Genomic DNA, 23566 nt, shown 5'->3' on the forward strand with positions numbered 1-23566 from the left:
CCCCTAAGCACCCTACCCAGCAGTGACAGCGGCTCATTCCAGCCTTTTCACACAGCAACAGCAAGGAGTCCTTGTCTGGGATTTTAAAATCATTTTATTAATCCAACAGTACAAAAGACCCCCACCACCACCGCATTCTGCCATCACTTTGTTCCAAAAAGTAGTGGAGTGAGAGAGCGAGAGGGAGCAGATCCAGCAAAAACACTCCCCCAGGGGCCATTTTACAAAATGCGGAGCAGGGGAAGACAACACAAAAACAGCAACAGATAAATGGGGCAAACAGAACAACAAACACAAGAGTTGAGCAGCGGGGTGGGGGTGGGGGGTTGCCATCTACGCCGTTTTAGTGTGAGGGACACTGGGAACGATGCCCAGAGGCTGCTCTCCTCCCAGCCTCAAAGGTTGTCAGCTCCACCAGAGCAGGGTCTTCTCTCCTCATGCCAGGAACTGAGAGAAGTGGGGGTAGGGGACCACTAGGTCTTTGCCACTGTATCTTGAGCTGGGGGACTCCTAACTTCTCCGAGGGCCACACCCCATGCCTGCCTTCCCCACCCCATGGAGGAATGTGTGCATGAACAGAAAAGGAGAACGAGCAGCGCTAAGGTCCTCATCAGGCCCCAGGCCCATCTCTGGCAGGCAGTGCTTAAAAAATAAAAAAAGACAAATAAAGCCCAGTGCAGGCCTTTGGCTGAGAGGAATGAGAATTGCTAATTAATCACCAGGCCCAAGAGGATATGAAAGAATAGCAAAGAGAAGCAACAAACTCCAGGCTCTTCTACCTTTGAGTACCATGGCAATGAGGATCCCGCCGCATCCCCTACCCACAGGCTGTGACAGGGCCTCACTTGGATCCTTTTATCATGGAGGAAATGAGGTATAGGGCTCTGCGCCTTTTCAAGCTTTCCTTCAATCAAGCCAGGAAGGCAGGGGAATAAGGGCGCCGAAAGTTGAAGAACACACGGAGTATAATGTGCAACAGATGGGCTGGGGGAGGAGGGTACCACCAAAGTCCAGACTTTCAGGACAGCCCAAACTTCAAATATTCTGGTCTGTCAGATAACATATCCCAATTTTTGGCAAAAATATGGTCATTAGGAGAAAAGCACGAGAGAGGCTGAGAAAGGACCAGTGACTTTGGTATGAAGAAGATACGTCCTGACAGCATCTCTCACCTACTGTCTTGAAGCCCCAAATCACCAAGAAACTGCCATAACCAGGAACTCTCCTGCTTCCTCAGGCTATTTGGTTCTCTGAGGGGGAAGGAGTTGGGTAAGTCTTGGAGGAAGCAAAGGAGTGGGTAGAAAAAGGGGAAAATCCCCATTTATTCCCTAAAGCTGTCTCCCAGAGCCCATAAAAGGGCTATTGCAGGGATGGCAAGACCCCAATTCCTCTGGCCAGAAACCTTTAACACTTGACTCCAAAAACTAAGGCTGGAGCTGTGGGGTTCAGTAGGGGTGTTAGGCACAGGTGTTAGGGGCATCCATCATCAGCAGAGGGAACACCCCTGCCCTCCGGATCTTCCTCCAGCCCCTTTTCTCTTGCAGCCACACTCCTGGGCCTCCAGAAATAGCCACAAAATGGCTCTGCTCAGCAGGGCTTTGGTTTCCTGGATCTCTGTAGATCTCAACATGTAAGTTTCCCAAAACAGTGAGCAATCCAGGCTCTTCTGCCTGCCCACCTCAATTCCTTTTCTGCTCCCAGGAGCCACTGTTTCTGCCCCATGGGGATGGAAAGCCAGTGGAAACAAGGACCAAGAGCCAAACATCAAAAAAATCACCCTGGAAGAGCAGGGAGAGACATGTGCACTTCCCTGGGCCACTTCACCAGCGTCACCCATCGTTAGCAGCCACCAGCTGCCCCATGCCCTCACGGATGTAGACAGACTGGATCTCCTTGGTCTTGAGGCAGAGATCGCAGGCCCAGACGGCAGAAGCTTCAGTGGTCAGCAGCCCATAGGCGCTCTCAGTCATGCCTGTGCACTCACGGTGGAACCATTTCTGGCAGGAGGCCTCACACAGAATGGCATCCTGGTCATCGTTCACCTCACTCCGACAGGCACCACATGGGTACACCAAGCCTGGGGGAGGCTGGGGCCCGGAGCCCCCACCTGCCTTGCCAGGGGGTGCCAAGCTGTTGGCATCTGGAGTGCCCCCACCCCGCCCACTGCTGTTCGGGGGGAAACTGGGCTGGTTCCCATTAACAGCAGCAGCCGGGGAGCCTGAGTGGGGCTCCTGGGGAAAAGCAGTAGAAGCAGGTGGATTCAAGGGCTTCCCCCCATCCTCACCACCAGGGCCAGGAAAGCCAGGGTCCGGACCAGGAAAGGGACTTGTGTTAGGCGGCAGGCTGGGGAGCCCCTGACCAGGTCTCTGGAGAGGAGAAGGGCCAAAAGGAGCCCCTGGCTGAGCAAATCGTTGGGACAGAGAAGGTGGGCCCAGCTCTGCTCTGGGAGGCTGTCCCATGGTGGGTGAGATCATGGGACCAAATCCCCCCACTGGGCCCGGCATCATCTGCCCACTGGGAGGACTAAAGTTTTGACCCAGAGGCTGGTTGAAGGGTTGGCTGGGAAAGTTCATGTTGCCTGGGGGTGGGTAGCCAGGACCCTGGGGGGGCATGTTGAAAGCAGGGCCCATAGGATTGGGAGGGAAGGGGGGTGGCTGTCGACGGAGTGGCTGGGGGCCCCCTCCACCTCCAGTGCTGTAGCCTGGGGGTACCTGGCCCGCCATGCCCCCCTGCACACGGAAGCCTCCGAAGGGCACAGGACTGCCAAGGAATGGAGGGGCTGCAACCCCCACTTTGGGGGCTCCGAAGTCATCTTCAAAAGGGTTGGATGCAACCAGGTGATCCACCATGGGAGTTGGGGGTGGTGCAAACTCCGTCAGATGTGAGTATGCAGGGCCCTAGTGAGAAACAGTTGAGGGAAAGAGGGTCATGGAGGGAAACACAGAGCTAAACCAAGAGAGCACTACCAACACAATACACATTTTGGAGGCTGATACTGTGGGCAGCTCAGGTCTAAAATCAATATGGACCACAGGCCAGGTGCGGTGGCTCACGCCTGTAATCCCAGCACTTTGGGAGGCCAAGGCGGGCAGATCACGAGGTCAGGAGATCGAGATCATCCTGGCTAACACGGTGAAACCCCGTCTCTACTAAAAATACAAAAAAATTAGCCGGGCGTGGTGGTGGGCGCCTGTAGTCCCAGCTACTCGGGAGGCTGAAGCAGGAGAATGGCGTGAACCCAGGAGGCGGAGCTTGCAGTGAGCCAAGACCATACCACTGCACTCCAGCCTGGGCAACAGAGCAAGACTCCGTCTCAAAAAAAAAAAAAAAAAAATGGACCACAGGCCAGGCACAGTGGGTCACACCTGTAATGCTAACATTTTGGGAAGCCGAGGCAGGAGGATCCCTTGAGCCCATGAGTTTGAGTAGTAACACAGCAAGTCTCTGTTACTACAAAAAAAAAAAAAGAAAAGAAAAGAAAAGAAAAAAGAAAAAAAAAAAGACAAGAAAAAGAGGGTGGAGAGTGGAACCAACATAGTGCAGTAACTATGTTTTAAAAACAGGCAGAACTAGGATGGAATCCCAGCTCTGACCCTGAAAAACAACCTCAAGACTGTGGAGCATGTATTTAACATTTTTAACCCCCAGATTTCTCATCTGTAAAATAGGGATAATGCCTATCTCCCCAAACTGTTAAAGCATGTTAGCGCAATCCCTGGCACTAAAAAAAGGATCAGTAAGTGGTAGGTGTTACGTTATCATCAGGAGGAAACCAGGACAGGAAACATGGAGGAGACTGGAACCCTGCGTGGTAAGAACTTTGGTCGAATCATCTCTTAGGAGAGGATACTTTCCCCTAAACTTGTTATAAGGTTCAGCGAAAGAACAAGAAGCAAAGCAAGAAAGACAGTTTTCTCTCTCCTCCCTGCAGCTGATACAAGATACAAACAGATACTGGAATGGCAGAGTAGACAGTGTGCCGCCAAGGGGCTGCTGGGAACCAAACCCACCACCAACCACCATTCACCTGAGTATTTGACTTCCTTCGCTTCTTTTCTGGACTCTTCATTTGCAGACCTGGAAGAGCGGCAAAAGGAAGACGCAGACAAGTTTCCCTGAGGTTTCCCCAACCTCTTTTCTCTCAGCCATGCTCTGAGGAACTCCTTTAACGTCAATACATACTTGCTTATTTATTCAACAAATGCTAACAAGGGGTGCAATATGAAAAATAGATTGTGAAGATGATCATACTCTCAGCTACGTCTTCCTTTAAATGAAAGATATCCCATCTTTCGATATCCTCAAGCTCCAAGTGAGTACTGAATTCCATGTGGCTCCAAACCCTAGAGTCCTCAATGTGTGACACCTGCCCCCAACCCCTGGAGGATTACACCCACCCATCCTTTTCACCTGAGCCTCCCTTCAAGCCTTCAGACTGTGAAACACCCCCCGCCCACCATCCCTCCCCTCTGAGGTTCCCAAGTCCTGGGCCTCTTCAGCCCCCGCCCCTCGCAGCGCGCTCACCGGCCTTGCCCTGCTTCCTCCCGGTGCTGGGCGGCGCAGGGGGCGGTGCGGGGCCGCCACCTCCCTCCAGCTTGTCCGGTGGGGGCGGCGCCGAGGCGGCCATGGAGTGGGGGACCCGGGTTAGCGGCAGCGGCGGGGGATGGAGGCGCCCTTGGGCTGCACCATCGCCCAGAAGGGGTGTCAGGGGCAGCCCAGGCCCCCGAGCTGCAGCAACCACAAAGTGCGACGACAGGGAAGCGCCGAGCCGCCGCGCAAACTGCGCGCTCTCTCCAGACTCGCCGCCCGCCAGCGGCGGCAGCAACCGGAACCGGAACTCGTCGCGGCCACCACCACTGAGCGCTGCGGGGAGGGGGAGCAAGGACCGGACGAGACGCTACGCCTGAAAACAGGCGGCGGGCGAGGGACGAGGCTTACCACGGCACCACGCGAGTGGAAAGGGTCGTCTCCGCTAGCGGCGGCCCACACCAGCTCACCGAGGGGCGGCAGCGCGCGGCCCGGCTGCCGGACCGTACCATCCCGGGCGGTGGAGCCGCCGCGGAGGGGCGCGCGCGAGCCGAAGGCGCACCCGGGAGGCCCAGGTAGCCCGGGGGCCGGTGCTGGGGCGCCGGGCAGGCCCGGCTCCCGCCTCGACCCACCCGGAGCCAGCCCCCTCTGCGGACACGACATCCCCATGGGGACGGTGGCGCGAAACGCCCCACTCTGCCGCACCCAAACTCTGCAGACCCCCAGCTTCCCTGGGCGGCCGCGACCTCCCGCCTCCCCGTCTGCCGCTGAGGGCCCGCGGCGTACACAATAGGCTTCCCAGAAGGGTTAAGAGGCAGAGGTAGAAGAAATACGGACTTTAATGAAGAGTTTTCCCTTTGGTATAAGTGAGACCCGTGGAAACATCCAAACAGCAAAAGGAGGCCAGGATGAAAACGGTCAACTCTCCCTTATCCACAAGGCCAAAAGAGGGGGGGCCGGCTTGCTGTGGTGTGGCCACCCCGGGCCTAGGCTGGGCCGGGCCTGTAGAAGGTACTCAGGAACTGCAGGTTTTGCGTTTCCCCTCCATGAAACTGACAGGCATTCGGGCTGACTTCTGCCTCTCAGTCTCGCGGTAAGAGACCCAAGTTTTTCTAGTCCTAGATGGAAATAAATTTCATCTGCCTCAGGTCTCTGGTATAAAAGGTGCGATCCCAGTTACCTCACAGGCCTAGGCGAGGAAAATGCCAAGAGCTGTAAAAGGGCTTGGAAAAGTCAAAAAGGTGATGTATAAATGTAATAATTGATTATCATTTTGTGCTCAAGAATAAGCAATGGAAAAGAAAATAGGAAAGTAAGTCTACAGCCCTAAAATATATGCATATAAAACTTTAAAAGAATGCAGTTCCAACTCTACAGATGGTATGTGGGGATTGTCTACTGCTTTATAGTCTCAATGCCCCTTTTCTCACCTCCACAAAATCCACCTGGGAGAGTTAACTGTACAAGAGGCCCAAATTCAGTCACCCCCACCCCGCCCTCCCAGAAAGGGAGGCAGGGCAGAGGCTTCAGGAGGAAGGGCTGCACTTTGGCGTAGAGTACATAGGCATGCAACATGGGAGGGCAGGCCTTATGAAATGTATATACAGACCCCTTGGGGTGAGGGGCCCCGGCCAGGAGGCACTGAGCAAGGGAGGGGTCCATCTCCCGCCTGGCCGGGAGTGGGGCTCTGGGGCAATCTCTAAGGGTTGCATATCCCCAGGGAGAGGGGACAGCTGCCACTCCTGCCTCTGTTATCCCAACCCAAACCGGAGAGGGTGCTCAGCAAGAACACAGGTCCCAGAAGCCAAGAAGGTGTTGGCATCCCTGTCATTGAATTCAGGGGTCCAAGAACTGTTTGCATAAAATATCATTAGACCTAAGAGATGGTCAAAGGCACAAAGTTTAAACATGGGGGGGGCGGGTGTTGAGAGGGGTCTGGGATACCCTGAAGCCCAGAGGTGTGATTTGTTCCCCCTTGCCCAGAAGGGTGACTGTTCCACTGGGCCTGTCACCACAGGACATTTTCCATGACAAGCACTCACCTTCTTGGGGAAGGGGCATCAGGTTGGCACAGGAAAGGCCCAGGTGAGGGGCCACTCTGTACATTAATACTTTGGTGATTAATGTTTGGGGAGAGGCAGGATTCTCACCCAGGCTTTTGACTCAAACCCTCTCACTCAGCTGGATATGAAACCCAGAGTCCATGCTACTCCCAGCTCTGACACAAGGCCAAGCCCACAGAACACTCCCAAACGAGGTCCCGAGAGTTAGGGAATAGGGTGGAAAGGATTGGAGGGCATCTTCTGGAAGAGAGCGCTAGGGCAGATCACAGTTTCCGCTCCACAGGTTGCTGTAGACACAGTTCGCTGCCCGCAGAGATGATGGGCAAGTGATTGTCCATGTGGTAGCTGATAAGGTGACTGACACTTTCAAAGCGGTGATCCTTAGTCCGAACCTGGGAGGGTGGGAAGGAAGAAGGTCAATTCAGGTGAAGAGTCAAATAAGACCTCAGCCTCCAAGGTGGAAGAGGGTGAAACAGACAAGAGGCTTGAAGGAGGAGAAAAAAATGGTGGGGGAGAGTGTGGCCTGTCAATCCTGATCATTGAGGCTTCTCTAGAAAGAGACAGTTGTAGGAATAGACAGGTCAGTGAAGTGAGAAAAGGCAAAGGCGACATCAGCCCTGAAAGAGTGAAGCTGAGAGCTATATACCCCTTTCTTGACCTGGAGGAAGTTGGCATGTCTCAGAAGAGTATACACAGTGCAAAAAAAGATGTGGAGGCTGGGCATGGTGGTCCGTGCCTGTAATCCCAGCACTCTGGGAGGCCGAGGGAGGCGGATCACTTGAGCCCGGGAGTTCAAGAACAGCTTGGGCAACATGGCGAAACCCCATCTCTACCAAAAAAAAAATACAAAAATTAGCCAGGTGTGCCACCACACCGCAGCCTGAGTGACAAAGCAAAACCCTATCTCAAAAAAAAAGAAAGGAAGCTGAGATTACTGTAGAAAACAAACAAAAGTTTTTTTGTTTCCAGACAGGGTCTCTGTCACCCAGGCTAGAGTACAGTGGCGCAATCATGGCTCACTGTAACCTCGAACTCCTGGGCTCAAGCGATCCTCAGGCCTCAGCCTCCTGGGTAGGTAGGACTACAGGCATGTGTCACCATTCCTGACTAGAGACAAGGTCTCGCTATGTTGCCCAGGCTGGTCTTGAACTCCTGGCCTCAAGCAATCCTCCCACCTCAGCTTCGCAAAATGTTGGGATTACAGGCATGAACCACCACACCTGGCTAAACAAGGAAAGTTTTGAAGAACAGTGAGGCAGTGCAGATAAGAGAAAGCACAGTGGTCTGAGTCCTGAGTCTGGGGAGCTGGAGAAGCCCTTGGATCTTCTTACAAAAGGAAACTTGCAGTGTCTAGCCTCTAACCATCTGACATTGGGCATCACAACCTCTTCAGGGTGGTTTCCTTATTTGTCAAAAGAGGGGCACAGATGAGATGACTGCCTTCTAGCTCTGATAAGCTTAAGGCTTGGGGATTTGAGGACGGGCCAGGACTGTATTTGTTTTGTTTTGTTTTTTCAGACAGAGTCTCACTCTGTCACCCAGGCTGGAGTGCAGTGGTGTGATCTCAGCTCATTGCAACCTCTGCATCCCAGATTCAAGCAATTCTCCTGCCTCAGCCTCCTGAGTAGCTGGGACTACAGGTGCCTGCCACCACACCCGGCTAATTTTTGTATTTTTAGTAGAGACAGGGTTTCACCATATTGGTCAGGCTGGTCTCGAACTCCTGACCTCAGGTGATTCACCTGCCTCAGCCTCCCAAAGCGCTGGGATTACAGGTGTGAGCCACCACGCCTGGCCCTGTGCCAGGACTATAAAGAACATAGTTCAGGCTAAGGGATGAGCCTCTGGAGGAAGATGCCAGACACTTTAAAGAGCAAGAGAGGCCCATAGACAGCTGCCCAGCGGGAATGTCTACAAAGCAATGAGGGAAGGAAGAGGGATACACTGTAGGGTACTGTACCTTCCTTTTTGCCACCCCTCACCCACACCTCTGCCACACTCACCACACCCTCAGGGTCCACCAGTAGCAAATGCTTAGGCTGCCCACTCTGCAAGCCAGTGAGCACATACTGGCCAGGTGTGGTCGTGCTCTCCCGTACCAGGAAGTCCCCATTGAGCTGCAGCAGTGCCTCAGCCTCCCGCCGGCTCAGCTTCCCATGGAACCAGGGCTCCCCTCGGAGCTGCTCAGCCATGGACACCGACTGGGGAGGTGGAGGCACGCGAAGAGCATCTTCGAAGGGCTCTGGAAGTATAGAGGGAGGGTGAGGGGAAGTAGCAGGCACAACACACACCCAAGACCCAGACTTCAGGGAAGGGAAGTCAGGAAGGAAAGAGCAGATAGGCAGGAGAAGGGCCAGAACCAAGTAGAAAGGTGGGGATGCAGAGAGGAGAGAGACGAGCACTCACTCATGTCAAACAGGTCCCGGGGTGCACTGCCATTGATAGCAGGATTGGGGGGCCCAGCACCACCCACTGCTTGCCGGGCCTTGTCTAGGTTCTGGACGTTGACATAGGAGGGATCATCAAAAAGCTCTCTGCCTGCTGAGGAAAGGGAGGCTCTACAGTGATCCCAGCCCTGCCTCCAACACTCCCCAGCTCTGCCTATCTCGGCTCCCTTCATACCTGGACAGGGTGGTGGAGGTGGCATCTGTTTGCGGACTTCTGGATCTCCCCCAACAGGCTGTCCTACAGGCTGCAGGGATAAAAATAAGGTGAGACCAGAAGCCCTAACCAACCACTCCCACCCTAGCCCCAGCCCGCCTCCATCCAAGCAACTTACCAATGTAGCTCCCAAGTGGCTGGGGGTCTGGGCATTGGGTGCAGTGGGTCGAGCAGCCCCTGGAGCGGCTCCTTCCCGAAGCCTCATGTCTACCACCCCCCCCAAGGGGGGTTCCTTCCCCGGGAAGTCATTATAGTACTGATGGTCAGGTGGCTCTTCCTCCTCCTCATCCCATGCTGAGCCATCAAAGCCAGCCATCCTGAGGGACAGGACAGTGAAGCTGTGGCTGTAAATGTGTGGTGGGCAGGAGGAGGGAAGGACAGAATAGAACAGCAGCCATCTATTGGGTATTTACTATGGATTAAGCCTGAGGCTGAGTGTTTTATATACATAATCATTTCATTCTCCTGGCAACCCCGTAAGGTAGGTATTGTTTCCTTCCCCACTTTTACAGATGAGGAAAATGAGGGTCAGAGGTGAAAAGATCTGCCCAAGGTCTCACAACTAAAAGGCGGCCGAGCTCAGATTTAAATTCAGGTTTGACTTTAAAGCTCATCCCCTTGGCCAGGTGCAATGGCTCACGCCTATAATCCCAACACTTTCAGAGGCCAAGGAGGGAGGGTTGTTTGAGCCTAGGAGTTCAAGACCAGCCAGGACAACATAGCGAGACCTTATCTCTACCAGAATAAAAATACTACTACTCAGCCAGGTGTGGTGGCATGCACCTGTAGCCCCAGCTACTCAGGAGGCTAAGGTGGGAGGATCACTCAAGCCCAGGATATGGAGGCTACAGTGAGCTGTGATTGTACCACTGAACTCCAGCCTGGGCTACAGAGCAAGACTGTCTCAAATAAGTAATGCTCTTGCTCTTGATCTCTGTGCTATCTCCCAACAAGGAAGGGAAGCACCATGTAGGGGGGTGGGGGGCCGGGGGAGGCACTCCAGCTCCAGAATATTTTAACCTCTCCTAAATATTCAATCCCTACTGGCTCCACTGCTTATCCCTCAAGGCCTGAGGTGGGAAAGGTTGTAATCTCAGGGAAAAGAGATATCCTCCCAAACCCAAATTCTTGATGGCTTCTAGAGGCAGGAAAACACATAATGCCAAGCAGAGAAATGAGCAAGAAAGAGGGATGGGAGTAGAAAATCCCACCTAGCCAGAGAGAGATGTAACTTGGAGGCCCCGGACTACAACTCCACCATGAGCAAACAAGAAAAGCTGGTCCTGCGGCAAGCAGGGCCTCAAAAGTCTTTCCTCCTGGGCCACAGGAAACAGAAGAATAGCAGGAAGTGGGAAGCAGAGGCACACAGGTTATTCCCTCCCTGAACCTCTCAACTCAAGTGTAGGAAGAGCAGCCCTCCTTTCCTAATCCTAATCCAAGAGCTGCTCCACACTCTCCCCACCTGCTCACCTGTCATGAGGGGTGACCAGTTTGGGTGGGTTCCTGAGGTATTGTTTGAAGCGCAACTCGAAGGCCTGGCCAATGGTGCTGATGACATCCTGGGCAAGCCCTTCGGGACACTCCAGAATGTGGCAGGCTGAGGGCACAGCAGAGGCTGTCAGTGAGCTGAGCCCACTGGGAGGAGGCACAGACAGGGGCCCTCATCTTCCTCTGCAGGAACCCCCACTGAGATCTACTTAGAGTGGGTACAGATGACCAAAGGTCCTACTCACCTCCTCAAACAGCCAGACCCACCCAGTGCTCCCCACCATGCCTCACCTCTCTGATTCACAGGGTCTTTGGCAACATAGGCGACATACTCGGCTGTGTCCTGGGGAGGAAGGTCAAAAAATTTTACAGTTCTACTTTACTCCTGACCCCTAAAACCCAGTCCTTTTCAGATATCCCCACAATCCTAGCACCCCCACTTCTCTAATCAATGTCTTCCCAATCCCTAGCCCCTTGCTCTTCTCCCACCGCCTTTGCTCTGTTCCCCAACTCACCGGATCCCCGCCGGATGCAAATGAGATAGATTGCATGTGGTGGTTGGCGATGATCTGAGAATTAGGGCAGGGGATGAAGAAGGAAGGGAATGCCATGTGTCAGGCAGCCTCAGGGCCCAGAACCCTGGTGCCCCAGTCTCATTCTCTGGGTTCCTTATCCCATATCCTCATTTCCTCCTTCCCTACTGGTCTCCTGCTCTCAAGCCCTCTTCCTAGATTTTGGCCTCCTAACTAGATCTCCCCTTAGCACCCCCATCAGTGTTTCTGGTCCGTCTGCCCACCTTCACCAACCTGTTTGCAGTCTGCGGCCATGAGGTTGAGGCTGCTGGTGGAGACGGTGAGAGTGATTGGCATTCCAGCAAATTTCAGGTTACTCCTCCCCAGGATAGAGCTGAGCGGGCGGCTACAGGGCTAAGGTAGGGCCCAGGGTCTCAGAAGGTGAGGGTTCCCAGCACAGGCAAACCACACTTTTGCCTCCTGGCCCTCTCCCCACATGCCCCACACTTGCCTCCCCACTGCCCCTCCACATTTCCCAGCAGCATCCCTATCCCCAAGGACCCCAAGTACCTTTCTCCTCCTTGTCGCCCCCTTAGCACCCGGCACAGCCTCACACACCAGACTGATGGCCTCCCTGGGGAAAGAGGGGTACTCAGACCCAGCGCCTGCCTGCCTGCCTCCCACTCAACTGGGGCTGCCACAGGGCTGGGGGAGGGGAAAGCCAGGCCAGACTCCCAGGGCACTCCAGGCTCTTTGTCATGGTGGATTGAATTAAGGGCCTTTAATATTTGATGACACTGAGAGGCCACTTCCTGGCTGATTGGGTTAGGGCCTCAATGGGTATAGCCCCACCCCCTTCCAGCTACCAAATGTCCCATTCCCTTCCCAAAGGCAGCAGCAACCTTCCATCTACCCCCCTTTTCTACTCCAGCTCCACCTGCCAGCTGCTTCTGCCACCTTCCCCACAACTCCCAAGGCTGGATAGGTAAGGAGGATCCGGGCCAAAGGGGCCTCCTTTCAGTAAGAGGCGGAATCACTACCTCAGCTTTCTCTCAATCCCCTTTACTACGCAAAGATCAGCCCCCAGCAGCAGCACCCAAGTGACCCACTCCCCTCCTCTGTTTCCCATGGCCTCACTAATCCCAGGACTCCCACAATCCACTCCCTCCCCACTAACCTGGTGACCTGAGTCCGGGTGTTGAAGTCCAGGGCACGCATTGACTGGAGGACCTCCACACAACCCATGTACTAAGGGGAGGGAGAAGAGGACAGCAGGTCAGCGGCTCCCCCACCCCAGCCCCTTCACAAAGGGCCCTAGGACTTTACCCATATGGTCCCTAAGGGAAGTAAAGAGGAAGAAGTTCTGCCCACTTCCCGTGGCTACATCCCACAACCAAGGTGAAAGACAACAGGGAATGAGGAGAAAAAGAAAAGGCAGGCTAGAAGGACCTCACACACTGGGGAGAGAGTTTGGAGGGGACCGACAGGCATTGGCTGGGATGGAGTGACAACTCCAGAAAGCGGGAGGAGAATGGAGGAAAGATCAAGAAGTCATTCATTCCAACACTTATTAAGAGCTTCTGCCATGCTGGGCATTGTGCTAAGCATGCCAGGGTGGGGGTGGGGGAGTGAAAAGAAGGAAGGGGGCCCAGGCAAAGCTGGAAGGGAAGGGGCTACAGAATCGGGGAAGGGATGAGAAAGGTTTAGGAAATAGGACACTGAAACGGGGTTGTTGGGGAACAGCAGGAAAAAAGAGATTCCGGCCAAGCTGGAGTGAGCATTAGAACTGGAGGGGGTCTGCGGGGGAATGGAGAGGAGGATGTTCACTCACCCGAACCAAGTAGGAAACCCCGGGTCCCATGACTTTGTCGTTGGGATGCAGCCAGCCCCGCGTGGGCTTATTGACAAAGCTCCCGTGGCGGGTCCACTCCTCGCCCCCAAGCTGGCCCCCTTCCACCCGAGTCCTGCGCCCGCCGCCTCCACTCAGCTTGTTCATGTCCTGGAGGAGGGGTAGGGGGCCTGAGTCTGGCATGGCTGCCCCTACGATCCCCTCCCCATCATCAGCTGCCCTTCCTGGCTCCCCCTTAGACCCTGGGCGCCCCCCAGCCGGGTTGGCCAGCCTCAGGTTGCTCATCCGGGGGAAGAAGGAGCACAGGGTAGTGGGACTATCGTCCCCAGGCAGAGGAGGCAGGATGGGCCCCAGGGATGAAGCTGATGGGGAAGGCAGCTCCTCCGGGGGGGTGGACCCAGAAGCCCCTTCCTCCAGCGATGACAGAGACTCATTCCGGAGTGGATTGTACTTGGGCTTGGGGGGCAGGAGATCCATAGTTGAGGTGAAAGAGGGGCTGCTGCCCAGCCTGGCCCCCCTGCCAGTTTGGGCAAGGGGGCCAGGCAGGGGGTATCCCCAGGCCCTTAGCCTGGTTGGACCTCTGTGGCCCAGGAGTCACAGAAGTCCTGGGGAGGGAGAGGGACAAGTGGCTTCCGCTCCCCAGCTCAGACCCAGACAGTTTCAGGCCCCATCCCCGCCCAACGTGGAGCCTCTTCTCTGGCTGAGAAGAGAACAGGCTGGACCCAGCGCTTCTGGCTCCTCCCCAGGGGCGGGGAGCTAAGGGGAGAGACCAATCGTGAGGACAGTGCTGACTCACAGGCTCAGAGGGGCTGAGCCCCCACCCCGCCCCAACCTCGAACTGGAGCAGGGGGTAGGGCTATCCAAGCCCCTCTCCCCTGCCCTATACAAACAACTAGTAATCTGGGGAGAAGTAAAGTGGGGGTGGGAGGGAAGGATGGAAGAGTGGGACGGAAAGGAAGGAGATAGGAGGTCTGGGTCACTCAAAACCGGACACACGCAGGCCAAAGGGGGCAGGAAGCCAGGCAGGAGTACAGGGGAATGAGGGAGGAAACAGAGGCAGCTGGGGGTGGAAAAGGGAGGAGATCTCAGAGCTCAGCATTTCCCTTCCTGTCCTGGTTGGACACTCGAATTCCCCCACCCTCTCTATGCCCGAAAGCTGGCTGGCCCCAGCCCAGGCCACCCCCAACCGCTACCCCATACAGTAAGCCTGGGCCATTAGCATCCTCTGCTACAGCAGCTGTGGACTGGAGCTAGCGAAGTGGGGATGGGAAGTAAGTGGTCCCAATGGATGCAGAGCAGGGCCAAGAGGAAGAGCAAAGCTGGTGAAAAAAGGGGAATAAAGTTCAACCTGGATGATACATCAGGAAGCTACCAGGCAAGAAGGGAACAAGAGGACATGCTGGTCACGGCTTGTTCTCTACGTATGCCATCTACCACACCAAGACCGATGGCTCATAGCCAAGCACTGTCCTGTCTCCCCTTTCCACAGGGCTTGTTAACACAGCACACTGTCAAGGGTGAGAATGAGGCAATCAGGTCCCCACTCCCACTCCAAACCACCCCAATTCACATCCCTCCTCTTACAGGGCCCTAAGCCCCACCAAAGAGCACAGCATCCTTCACACCAGGGAAGGAGCCTGGCTGGAGGAGGTGGAAGAAACAGTTCTCCAAGAGAAGTAGAAACTACAGGCCAGGAAGGGACAGAGAGATCAGAAGACACATCTGCGTCAATAAGGACAGGAGAAAAATAAGTACAGGAGAAAGGGGTGTCAGGAGAAGATGGGTTGAAGCTGGACACAGGGAACAGTCCCAAACCCATTCCTGCCACCCACGGCTTCCTGCCACTGCTCTTCCGGAGAATGCCACAGGCAAAGCTGGAAAGTGACCAAAAAAAAAAAAACAAAGATACGTATTCCTACCGGGCGCGGTGGCTCACACCTGTGATACCAGCACTTTGGGAGGCTGAGGCGGGTGGATCACCTGAAGTCAGGAGTTCGAGACCAGCCTGGTCAACATGGTGAAACCCTGTCTCTACTAAAAATACAAAAATTAGCTGGGCGTGGTGGCGGGCACCTGTAATCCCAGCTCAGGAGGCTGAGGCAGGAGAATCGCTCGAACCCAGGAGGCGGAGGTTGCAGTGAGCCGAGATCGAGCCATTGCACTCCAGCCTAGGTGACAAGAGCAAAACTCCGTCTCAAAAAAAAAAAAATACGTATTCCCCCCAGCTCACCTTGGAATTACCCTTAGATTTACTTCAGAGAATTAAAATATAGATAGATAATTATCCTGATTAACAACATTAACACTTGAAGTGTGTTAGATGCTGTGCTTAACTCTTACATCTCCCCTTAGTGCTCATTCCAGAAGAGCTTTGTCACTCTGCCAGCCAATCCTGAGAAGGAATTTTATCACTTCATTTCCAGCCAGCTCTCGGGCATAGAGAGAATGAGGAAAGGATTCCACCATAGCCTCACACCCCCAAAACACACAAACACACACTAGGATGTCCCTCATCTGTAGAGATGATGTTCTGTGGGAGCCTACAGTATCCAGAGCCAGGGAAGGACCAACGGGTGTGGGCGTTCGGAAGAAAAGAAAGACGTATGACTCTTGAAATTTACATAGGGAGAAAGGAGATTGCCTACTGGAAGTCCAGGTGATTGGGTGTAGGGGAAAAGCTGTGTGTGGCTTCGCAGCCCAACTGGGAGGAGGGGACAGGGGCGGGAAGTGGCAGGAAATGGCGAAAGCCTCAGGAATGTTTCCAGCAGGGAAGGCTGGGCAAACGGGGCCAGGAGGAATGCCCAGACAAGAACTCTGGTTAGGGGGAGGGGAAGAGACAGAGAAGTAGCGACTGAACTGTCCCTTAAAAAAAAAAAAATCAAACAACAAAAAGAGCACTATTATCTACCCCCACTCCAAACTACCGTTCTTCTGGTAGTAGAAAACTTTTGCTCATGTCACACCCACATGCCACACACCAACAAATCCATGGTCTTATCCACTTATGTCTAGGAAGGCCTAGAGCTACTTCTGGGATGAGGTTGGTCCTGGGAAGGGAAAGCCAGGAAGTGAGGCTGGGAGTCTGAGGGCAAGTCTCTCTCTCCCTCTCGTGCCAAACCCCACGTTCAGCCCTTTCAAATAGTTCTACCCTTGGAGGAGGTTAAGAAAGAGGAAAACGGGGACGGGCGCAGTGGCTAACGCCTGTAATCCTAACACTTAAGGAGGCTGATAAGGGTGGAGCACCTGAGGTCAGGAGTTCGAGGCTAGCCTAGCCAACATGGGGAAACCCCGTCTCTACTAAAAATACAAAAATTAGCCGGGCGTGGTGGTGGGCGCCTGTAATCCCAGCTACTCAGGAGGCTGAGGCAGGAGAATCACTTGAACTCAGGAGGCGGAGGTTGCAGTGAGCCGAGATCGCACCATTGCACTCCAGCCTGGACGATAAGAGCGAAACTCCGTCTTAAAAAAAAAAAAAAAAAAAAAAAAGATAGAAAGGAAAACGGAAAACGGCTGCCTTTAATCTCACTCCTTACAGCCAGAGATGGGAACTTTGACTTCCCACCTGGGGGAGCACGAGAGTGCTCGGAAAACTGATCCCAAGGCCCAAAAAGAGAAAGGACAGGAAAATATAAGCAGGTGGAGTTTCAGGGATTGACGACAAGGCTTTTCAGCTGATGACCCAGGTCCCACAAAGATAAAGCTCCTAAGGGGGCGTGGTCCCCTAAGGACGCGAACTTCAGACTTCTGGGCGGGGAGGCTTTCTGGACAGTCAGACGTGGATTACGGAGGGGGCGTGGCTTCGGAGGGGCGGAGCTTCAACAAATTCGAATCGTTCTTTGAAGAGCAGGGTTTTGCCCTTTTGGGAGATAGGCCTTTTGACAGGAGTTAGCCGAGGATCGTTGCTAGGAGGCGGAGTTTCGGAGAATGGAAGGAGTAACGAAGGGTTTCTCGTAGTAGGGCTTGGAACGTGTCGGGGGGTGGGGACTTCCAGAAAAACTGGGCGACAGGGTGGGGTCGGAGACAAAAAATAAAAATCAAGTCGGGGTTCGGGGGAGCCCCCTGAAGTTGGGAGGTGGGACTTCCGGGGAGAGGGGTCTCAGGGGCGGGACTTATAAATGAAGACCGGAAGTGGGGTCCCGGGAGAGGGGTTCCGGGGTGAAAGAGTGAGTCACCTAAGGAGAAAAAAGTCAAGACTCACCAGGGCCTCATGGAGTCTCCGCACCGCACCGCGGGCCGATTTGGTGCCGGATCACGCCACTGCCAGCTTAGGTTACCGCTCCAACTTTCTCCCCGGGCCCTGCCTCCCTGGAGAAACTTTATTACACTCACTTCCGGCCTCACTAACCCCTGACCCTCTACCTCAGGGTCCCTCCTTCACGCTTCCCACTTTCCCGAGTTAGCCAATGGCAGCGCGAGATCGCGCACAAAGGCAGTGGTGGCCAATAAGACGCCTACTTTTGACCCACGCTCGTTCTTGAGAAGCGTGAGAACTGCCCTCCAATAAGGATCCGAAGAGAAGTAAATCTAAGCCAATCGGAGGCTTGAAAGTAGAGGTGTCCCGCCTCGAGCCAAACGGACCAATAGGAAGTGCGGGCGGCGTGTTTGAAAGCGAGGCCAAAGTGGGTGGGAGCGCGTGCTGTTGGGAGTTGCTTGGAGGTTGGCGGCGCGGGGCTGAAGGCTAGCAAACCGAGCGATCATGTCGCACAAACAAATTTACTATTCGGACAAATACGACGACGAGGAGTTTGAGTATCGGTTAGTGCTGGCGCGGGAGCAATAGCGAGGGTCGTGAGCTTTGGCCGCTGAGGGCACAAGGAATTAGTAACAGGAACTGAGGCGATAGAATTGGCGCATGCGTACGAGGTGCGAACGGGCAATGGTGTGATATTGTGGAAGGCGTAAGGCGCATGCGCGGAGGTGGGAGGCGCTCGTAAAACAAAGTGGTTGCGAATTTGGAGTCGCCTCTCAGTAGAGAGGAGAGAGGGGTGGGCGTGGTTAGGGTACTGACCACCCTCACCCATGAGGCTTTCTGGATCATTCTCTGAACTTTATCGGGCAAACTTAACTTGCCTTGTAGAGACTGTTTCACAGTAATCTTGTCGAATCCAGTGGGAGAACGTAGCAAAAGCGGAGCTGGAAGTTTCCTGGCGTCCCTAACAGGAGAGTAGCGCTGAGAGAGTTGAATATTGCTTATTAACTCGTGAAAAAGACAAGGGGCGTGGTTGTCTGGCTTGTGTAAGGAAGGGGATCGCTTGGGACTGCAATGGAATAAAACTGGCTAGGAGCATTGAGAAAATACTTAATATGGGTCTAATAGATGCCCTTTAAATATCAAAGGGAACAGTTACGGAATACTTAACAGGTTTCAGGTGTTCTGCTAAAGTGCAAGGATAACACATGGTCTCTGCTGTTCACAAATTTAAAAATCTGTGGGTGGTACCGACAGACACCAGAAAGGTGACACACGCTATGCAAGGAGCCATTACAGGGTGTGATGGGAGCACACAAGACTTGCTAAGGAGAGGGAACTGGCGACCCGAAGGCTGCGGCTTCCTAGCTGTGAGCGGGGGTTGAGGTGGGGCTAGAAAGTCAGTCCCCTACTTTTGCTAACTCCAGGACGCTCCCCCATCCCACGCTTCGAGAACGCCCCCCGCCCCGCCACCGCCTTGGAGGCTGACCTCTTACTTTCGGTCGGTCTTCTTCCCTGGGCTTGGTTTGGGGGCGGGGGAGTGTCCTAAGGGCCAATTCAGCGTGATGTCTCTTTCACCACCATTGAAAACGAAACCAGTAGTAAACTACGCGTGTTTTCATTTATATGTCGGAGATAAAAACACAGGGACAGAAAGAGGGGAACAACAGACATTGGGGCCTGCTTGAGGGAGGAGGGTGGGAGGAGGTAGAGGTTCAGGAAAAAAAAAAACTGTCGGGTACTATGCTTAGTACCTGGGTGATGAAATAACCTGTACACCGAACCCCCGAGTCAGGATTTTACCTATATAACAAACCTGCACATGTACCCTTGAACATGAAACTTAAAATACTGAGAGGAAAAACGGAAGAGGGAATGTTGGGGAAAGCTTCCTAGAGGGCAGAGCCTGAGATGAGACTCTAAGAAAAAGGTATGTGGGAGGAAGCACCTCTTGACTGAAATTGTTTAGAAGACACTGGATAGCCATCTGCCAAGGATGGTGATGATGGAATCCTGGCACTGGATGTGGCATTCGGGCTTGATAAATTTTAAGTGCATAATCTAGATTGGGAATAAGGGAAGACACAGGATTCCACAAATGTTGGCATTATGCTAATCTGTATTAATTGTAATAATTAAGACCACTTCCTGGTTTGTATCTTGTCTCCTCAGTTGGAGAACATAAAATGAAAACTTGCTTTTCTTGTGTCTCTTCACCCAGCCTAGTTCAGGGCTTTGGGTCTTCCAGAGAACTCGATGTGCATTGACAAATACATAATCATCTTTATGCCAAGACGGCTCCAGACCCTCCTTTAATTAACTTTCTTTTCCTCAGCTGTTTTCCTCTACATCTGAACTAAACTAACTTAAAACTGTATGTGCTTATAAGAGATTTGTGGAGCTGGGAAGGAATCACCATTTCATCCCCTGGAAGATGAAACTCTTGGCAGTGGCACTTTGGTTTAAGAGGGGTTTTTTGGTGTATGTATTGAAGCCAAATTTCGTGCCAGGGTGGTGTTAGAATGTGAGCTATTTTCATTATATTTGGACTAGAATTTTTTCTTTTAGGAGAATGGTGGGGAATCACTGTTACTAGCACAGAGGGAGAACTTAGTACATTTTCATTGAGCATGACGAAGACTATGTGGATTAGTTTGATTCACATCAGGGTAATAATTTTTTTGCTATGAAGGGAGACTTATCCTTGGTTAGAAAAGCACGGAATTTACCCAGAAAGTCTCAAGGTACATCCCTCCAGAGTTAGGAAAATAAGATTCAGGATAGATTTAATTTTTTTTTTAAGAGACAAGGTCTTGCTTTGTTGCCCAGACTGGAGTGCAGTGGCTATTCACAGGCACAACCATTGTGCATTGCAGCCCTTTCTTTTTTCTTATTTTTTTTCTCTTTTTTTGAGACGGAATCTCACTCTATCGCCCAGATCTCAGCTCACTGCAACCTCCGCCTCCTGGATTCAAGGGATTCTCTCCTGCCTCAACCTCCCAAATAGCTGGGATTACAGGTGCATGCCACCACACCCGGCTAATTTTTGTATTTTTAGTAGAGACGGGGTTTCACGTTGTTGGTCAGGCTGGTCTCCAACTCCTGACCTCAAGTGATCCACCCACCTCAGCCTCCCAAAGTGCTGGGATTACAGGCATGAGCCACCGCCCCTGGCCTATTTCTTCTGTATTTTAATCAGATTTCAAACTTCATACTGTATCTTTTTCAAACTCCTGGGTTCAAATGACCCTCCTGCCTCAGCCTCCCAAGTAGCTGGGACTGTAGGTTTGTGCCACCATGCCTGGCTTAGATTTTAAAGGACAAGATAGTTCATTTCATCCTTTGTAATAACTTGTCCACACAGTACTTCATAAAAGGCCTTTCCTCGCCACAAAATAACTTCTCTTCCTTCCTTCTAATTATTAACACTGTGTGCTCCGTGGGGCTCCCATTATGTTGTAGATAATCAACTAGAAGACTATAAGGTCCATGAAGGCGGAGAAAATGTGCCTTGAACTTAAGTGCTCATTCACTGGAATTATTCACTAATTTGTATTTTTAATATACTCTCGGAATTTATATAACATAGCCTGTATTTCTAGCTGCTGCTACCCCACAATAAAATTATATAAACTCTGACATCAAAAACCAGTTTTTCTTTCCTTTCTTGGCCTTGTAAACAGGCATTTGTCTAAGAGACTGTATCTGGTACTAACATAAATTCCCCACTTCCCCGTTTCTGTTACAGACATGTCATGCTGCCCAAGGACATAGCCAAGCTGGTCCCTAAAACCCATCTGATGTCTGAATCTGAATGGAGGAATCTTGGCGTTCAGCAGAGTCAGGGATGGGTCCATTATATGATCCATGAACCAGGTCAGTGCACTGGCTAAAAACAACCATATAGAACTGCTACACTGAGAGAATGAAAGAATAAGATTGTATAACCCAAATAGGGAGATAGGAAATGGTTTACTGGTTCCTTCCCCCTCCAGTCGTGGGGGATTTTTTTAAAAAAAAACTAGTGACCAAAAATAAGACTAAAATATCTGGGAAGTTCAGAGACAACCTGTCACTGAAAAACCTCCTGTAATCTTTCATTCAATCAGAGGGTATTCTTTTTAAGGCCACATATAGCCTGATCATAGCCCCTGCCTCATTCTCCATCGAAAACATTCTTGGATGTGTTCTAAATAAGCAAAGGAAAGTATATTTATTGATAAGACACCAGACACCCAGCTGCCAGGCAAAACTAATAAGGGACACCCTGGGGCTGTATAAACATAGCAAAAGAACTGATATTAACAATTCTGTACTTGGCAGACAGTCCAGACTTCTGGGTCTGCTTCTAAGGCCATATGCTTAAGTCTTTATTTAGTTATAAAGATCTGAGTGGGTGATAGCTGGGGAGGTGGTAGTGGAATACACTATAGGTTGTACATAGAATGGTGTGAGCTTGTCTCTTAGATTTCCCTCACTCTTTCAGAACCTCACATCTTGCTGTTCCGGCGCCCACTACCCAAGAAACCAAAGAAATGAAGCTGGCAAGCTACTTTTCAGCCTCAAGCTTTACACAGCTGTCCTTACTTCCTAACATCTTTCTGATAACATTATTATGTTGCCTTCTTGTTTCTCACTTTGATATTTAAAAGATGTTCAATACACTGTTTGAATGTGCTGGTAACTGCTTTGCTTCTTGAGTAGAGCCACCACCACCATAGCCCAGCCAGATGAGTGCTCTGTGGACCCACAGCCTAAGCTGAGTGTGACCCCAGAAGCCACGATGTGCTCTGTATCCAGAACACACTTGGCAGATGGAGGAAGCATCTGAGTTTGAGACCATGGCTGTTACAGGGATCATGTAAACTTGCTGTTTTTGTTTTTTCCTGCCGGGTGTTGTATGTGTGGTGACTTGCGGATTTATGTTTCAGTGTACTGGAAACTTTCCATTTTATTCAAGAAATCTGTTCATGTTAAAAGCCTTGATTAAAGAGGAAGTTTTTATAATCTAGTGCTGTAATTGTACGGGTTTTTTCCCCCTCACTCAGGGTGAGCATCATCAATATCATGGTTCTAATTATATGCCCTTCAGTTTGATAATGAAGCTCAGCTCTTTGCTGATAATGAGGTTTAACATTGAGATAACTGGTTTTTAATCTACTTTAAGCAGACTTGCTGTCAAACATCTACTGAAATATATTTCACTCTAACTACTAGCCTGAGGTAGAGGTTATATAGGGACAACTTCATCTCATCCAAACAAATGAACTGCTTCCTACAGTCGGGGTGCTGCCTTTAACATAGTCCCAATATTTGAATGGCACACATGGATAAAAGGATGCTGTCAGTCAGGGGCTGCTTGTGTGTCCCAATTCCTAATAGGAATAATAGGCATATCTATGACCTATTCACTGTGCCCCTTGGTTGGGGAAGGTTTTCAGCTGTTCTTAACTTGGCTTGGGCGTTGGAATCACCTGGGGAGCTTTACAAGTACTGATGCCTGCCTGAGTCATTCTTAAGGATTCTTAATTGGTCTGGAGTGTGGACTGGGGGTAAAGATTTCAGGCATCTTATGCAGGTAGGTAAAGAACTAAGCTTTGAGAAAACAGGTGCAAAATGTAGCTGTTTAAGAAAACATTCCAGGCCACACGTGGTGGCTCACACCTGTAATCCCAGCATTTTGGGAGGCTAAGGAGGGCAGATCACTTGAGGTCAGGAGTTCGAGACCAGCCTGGCCAACATGGTGAAACTCCCGTCTCTATTAAAAATACAAAAATTAGGCTGGGTGCAGTGGCTCATGCCTGTAATCCCAGCACTTTGGGAGGCTGAGGTGGGTGGATCACCTGAGGTCAGAAGTTTGAAACCAGCCTGGCCAACATGGTGAAACCCCATCTCTACTAAAACAAAATTAGCCGGGCGTGGTGGCACACGCCTGTAATCCCAGCTACTCCGGAGGCTGAGGCAGGAGAATCACTTGAACCTGGGAGGCAGAGGTTGCAGTGAGCTGAGATCACGCTATTGCACTTCAGCTTGGGCAACAAGAGTGAAACTCTGTCTCAAAAAAATAAAAATAAATTAGCCGGGCGTGGTGTGTGCCTGTAATCCCTGCTACTCAGGAGGCTGAGGTGAGAGGATCGCTTGAACCCGAGAGGCAGAGGTGAAAGTGAGCCAAGATCACACCACTGCACTCAGCCTGGGCGACAGAAGCTGTGTCTCAATTTAAAAAAAAAACATTCCACAGAATAATAACTTCCCCTCTAGTCTAACAAAACAGTAG

The 23566-nt window shown here is 52.0% G+C and overlaps 3 protein-coding genes, 1 long non-coding RNA gene and 1 other non-coding gene across 47 annotated transcripts, besides 12 other annotated features; 3 read left to right on the plus strand and 2 right to left on the minus strand.

The window, feature by feature from the left end:
• Positions 1-76: 76 nt before the first annotated feature.
• Positions 77-4833, minus strand: PYGO2 (pygopus family PHD finger 2). The gene is made up of 3 exons (NM_138300.4): positions 4525-4833; positions 4028-4077; positions 77-2897 (listed from the first exon to the last, which is right to left on the minus strand). Exons 1-3 carry the CDS (start codon positions 4625-4627, stop codon positions 1830-1832), a joined length of 1221 nt encoding a protein of 406 aa, NP_612157.1. The 5' UTR covers positions 4628-4833; the 3' UTR covers positions 77-1829.
• Positions 2336-2835: an enhancer, noted in NCBI's record as "H3K4me1 hESC enhancer chr1:154931761-154932260 (GRCh37/hg19 assembly coordinates)". NCBI's record gives its function as "activates a minimal SCP1, AML or CMV promoter by ChIP-STARR-seq in primed H9 embryonic stem cells {active_cell/tissue: H9 hESC(primed)}" and the evidence as "EXISTENCE:reporter gene assay evidence [ECO:0000049][PMID:30033119]".
• Positions 4379-4838: a silencer, noted in NCBI's record as "silent region_1369". NCBI's record gives its function as "represses an Ori minimal core promoter by ATAC-STARR-seq in GM12878 lymphoblastoid cells {active_cell/tissue: GM12878}" and the evidence as "EXISTENCE:reporter gene assay evidence [ECO:0000049][PMID:35858748]".
• Positions 4379-5920: a biological region, named in NCBI's record as "H3K27ac hESC enhancers GRCh37_chr1:154933865-154934605 and GRCh37_chr1:154934606-154935345".
• Positions 4440-5180: an enhancer, noted in NCBI's record as "H3K27ac hESC enhancer chr1:154933865-154934605 (GRCh37/hg19 assembly coordinates)". NCBI's record gives its function as "activates a minimal SCP1, AML or CMV promoter by ChIP-STARR-seq in naive H9 embryonic stem cells {active_cell/tissue: H9 hESC(naive)}" and the evidence as "EXISTENCE:reporter gene assay evidence [ECO:0000049][PMID:30033119]".
• Positions 4589-5674, plus strand: PYGO2-AS1 (PYGO2 and SHC1 antisense RNA 1). Its single transcript, NR_171036.1, has one exon. It is a non-coding gene; the product is annotated as a PYGO2 and SHC1 antisense RNA 1 (long non-coding RNA).
• Positions 4889-5298: a silencer, noted in NCBI's record as "silent region_1370". NCBI's record gives its function as "represses an Ori minimal core promoter by ATAC-STARR-seq in GM12878 lymphoblastoid cells {active_cell/tissue: GM12878}" and the evidence as "EXISTENCE:reporter gene assay evidence [ECO:0000049][PMID:35858748]".
• Positions 5181-5920: an enhancer, noted in NCBI's record as "H3K27ac hESC enhancer chr1:154934606-154935345 (GRCh37/hg19 assembly coordinates)". NCBI's record gives its function as "activates a minimal SCP1, AML or CMV promoter by ChIP-STARR-seq in naive H9 embryonic stem cells {active_cell/tissue: H9 hESC(naive)}" and the evidence as "EXISTENCE:reporter gene assay evidence [ECO:0000049][PMID:30033119]".
• Positions 5349-17427, minus strand: SHC1 (SHC adaptor protein 1). Of its 42 annotated transcripts, none has more exons than XM_047427995.1 (14): positions 17299-17427; positions 16344-16559; positions 13083-13250; positions 12429-12499; positions 11822-11885; positions 11546-11665; positions 11255-11308; positions 11031-11082; positions 10722-10848; positions 9370-9568; positions 9213-9282; positions 8997-9128; positions 8690-8832; positions 5349-6982 (listed from the first exon to the last, which is right to left on the minus strand). In XM_047427995.1, exons 3-14 carry the CDS (start codon positions 13245-13247, stop codon positions 6854-6856), a joined length of 1326 nt encoding a protein of 441 aa, XP_047283951.1. In that variant the 5' UTR covers positions 13248-13250; positions 16344-16559; positions 17299-17427; the 3' UTR covers positions 5349-6853. The 42 variants fall into 41 exon arrangements, with proteins under 42 accessions (XP_047283951.1, XP_047283938.1, XP_047283948.1 ...); XM_047427982.1 differs by having other exon boundaries at positions 8594-8832; XM_047427992.1 differs by having other exon boundaries at positions 8997-9131.
• Positions 12575-13125: an enhancer, noted in NCBI's record as "H3K27ac-H3K4me1 hESC enhancer chr1:154942000-154942550 (GRCh37/hg19 assembly coordinates)". NCBI's record gives its function as "activates a minimal SCP1, AML or CMV promoter by ChIP-STARR-seq in naive H9 embryonic stem cells {active_cell/tissue: H9 hESC(naive)}" and the evidence as "EXISTENCE:reporter gene assay evidence [ECO:0000049][PMID:30033119]".
• Positions 13126-13676: an enhancer, noted in NCBI's record as "H3K27ac-H3K4me1 hESC enhancer chr1:154942551-154943101 (GRCh37/hg19 assembly coordinates)". NCBI's record gives its function as "activates a minimal SCP1, AML or CMV promoter by ChIP-STARR-seq in naive H9 embryonic stem cells {active_cell/tissue: H9 hESC(naive)}" and the evidence as "EXISTENCE:reporter gene assay evidence [ECO:0000049][PMID:30033119]".
• Positions 17228-17377: an enhancer, noted in NCBI's record as "active region_1798". NCBI's record gives its function as "activates an Ori minimal core promoter by ATAC-STARR-seq in GM12878 lymphoblastoid cells {active_cell/tissue: GM12878}" and the evidence as "EXISTENCE:reporter gene assay evidence [ECO:0000049][PMID:35858748]".
• Positions 17468-17557: a silencer, noted in NCBI's record as "silent region_1371". NCBI's record gives its function as "represses an Ori minimal core promoter by ATAC-STARR-seq in GM12878 lymphoblastoid cells {active_cell/tissue: GM12878}" and the evidence as "EXISTENCE:reporter gene assay evidence [ECO:0000049][PMID:35858748]".
• Positions 17732-22302, plus strand: CKS1B (CDC28 protein kinase regulatory subunit 1B). 2 transcript variants are annotated; one of them, NR_024163.2, is made up of 3 exons: positions 17732-17963; positions 21038-21165; positions 21776-22302. NR_024163.2 is itself a non-coding variant. In NM_001826.3 (3 exons), the coding sequence occupies exons 1-3, from the start codon at positions 17797-17799 to the stop codon at positions 21826-21828; spliced, it is 240 nt and encodes a 79-aa protein (NP_001817.1). In that variant the 5' UTR covers positions 17732-17796; the 3' UTR covers positions 21829-22302. The 2 variants fall into 2 exon arrangements, 1 of the variants encoding a protein (NP_001817.1); NM_001826.3 differs by having other exon boundaries at positions 17732-17855.
• Positions 17828-17977: an enhancer, noted in NCBI's record as "active region_1799". NCBI's record gives its function as "activates an Ori minimal core promoter by ATAC-STARR-seq in GM12878 lymphoblastoid cells {active_cell/tissue: GM12878}" and the evidence as "EXISTENCE:reporter gene assay evidence [ECO:0000049][PMID:35858748]".
• Positions 18078-18137: an enhancer, noted in NCBI's record as "active region_1800". NCBI's record gives its function as "activates an Ori minimal core promoter by ATAC-STARR-seq in GM12878 lymphoblastoid cells {active_cell/tissue: GM12878}" and the evidence as "EXISTENCE:reporter gene assay evidence [ECO:0000049][PMID:35858748]".
• MIR4258 (microRNA 4258) lies at positions 18744-18834 on the plus strand. Its single transcript, NR_036212.1, has one exon. It is a non-coding gene; the product is annotated as a microRNA 4258 (primary transcript).

The sequence above is a fragment of the Homo sapiens genome, chromosome 1, assembly GCF_000001405.40.
Source record: "Homo sapiens chromosome 1, GRCh38.p14 Primary Assembly".
Classification (NCBI taxonomy): domain Eukaryota; kingdom Metazoa; phylum Chordata; class Mammalia; order Primates; family Hominidae; genus Homo; species Homo sapiens.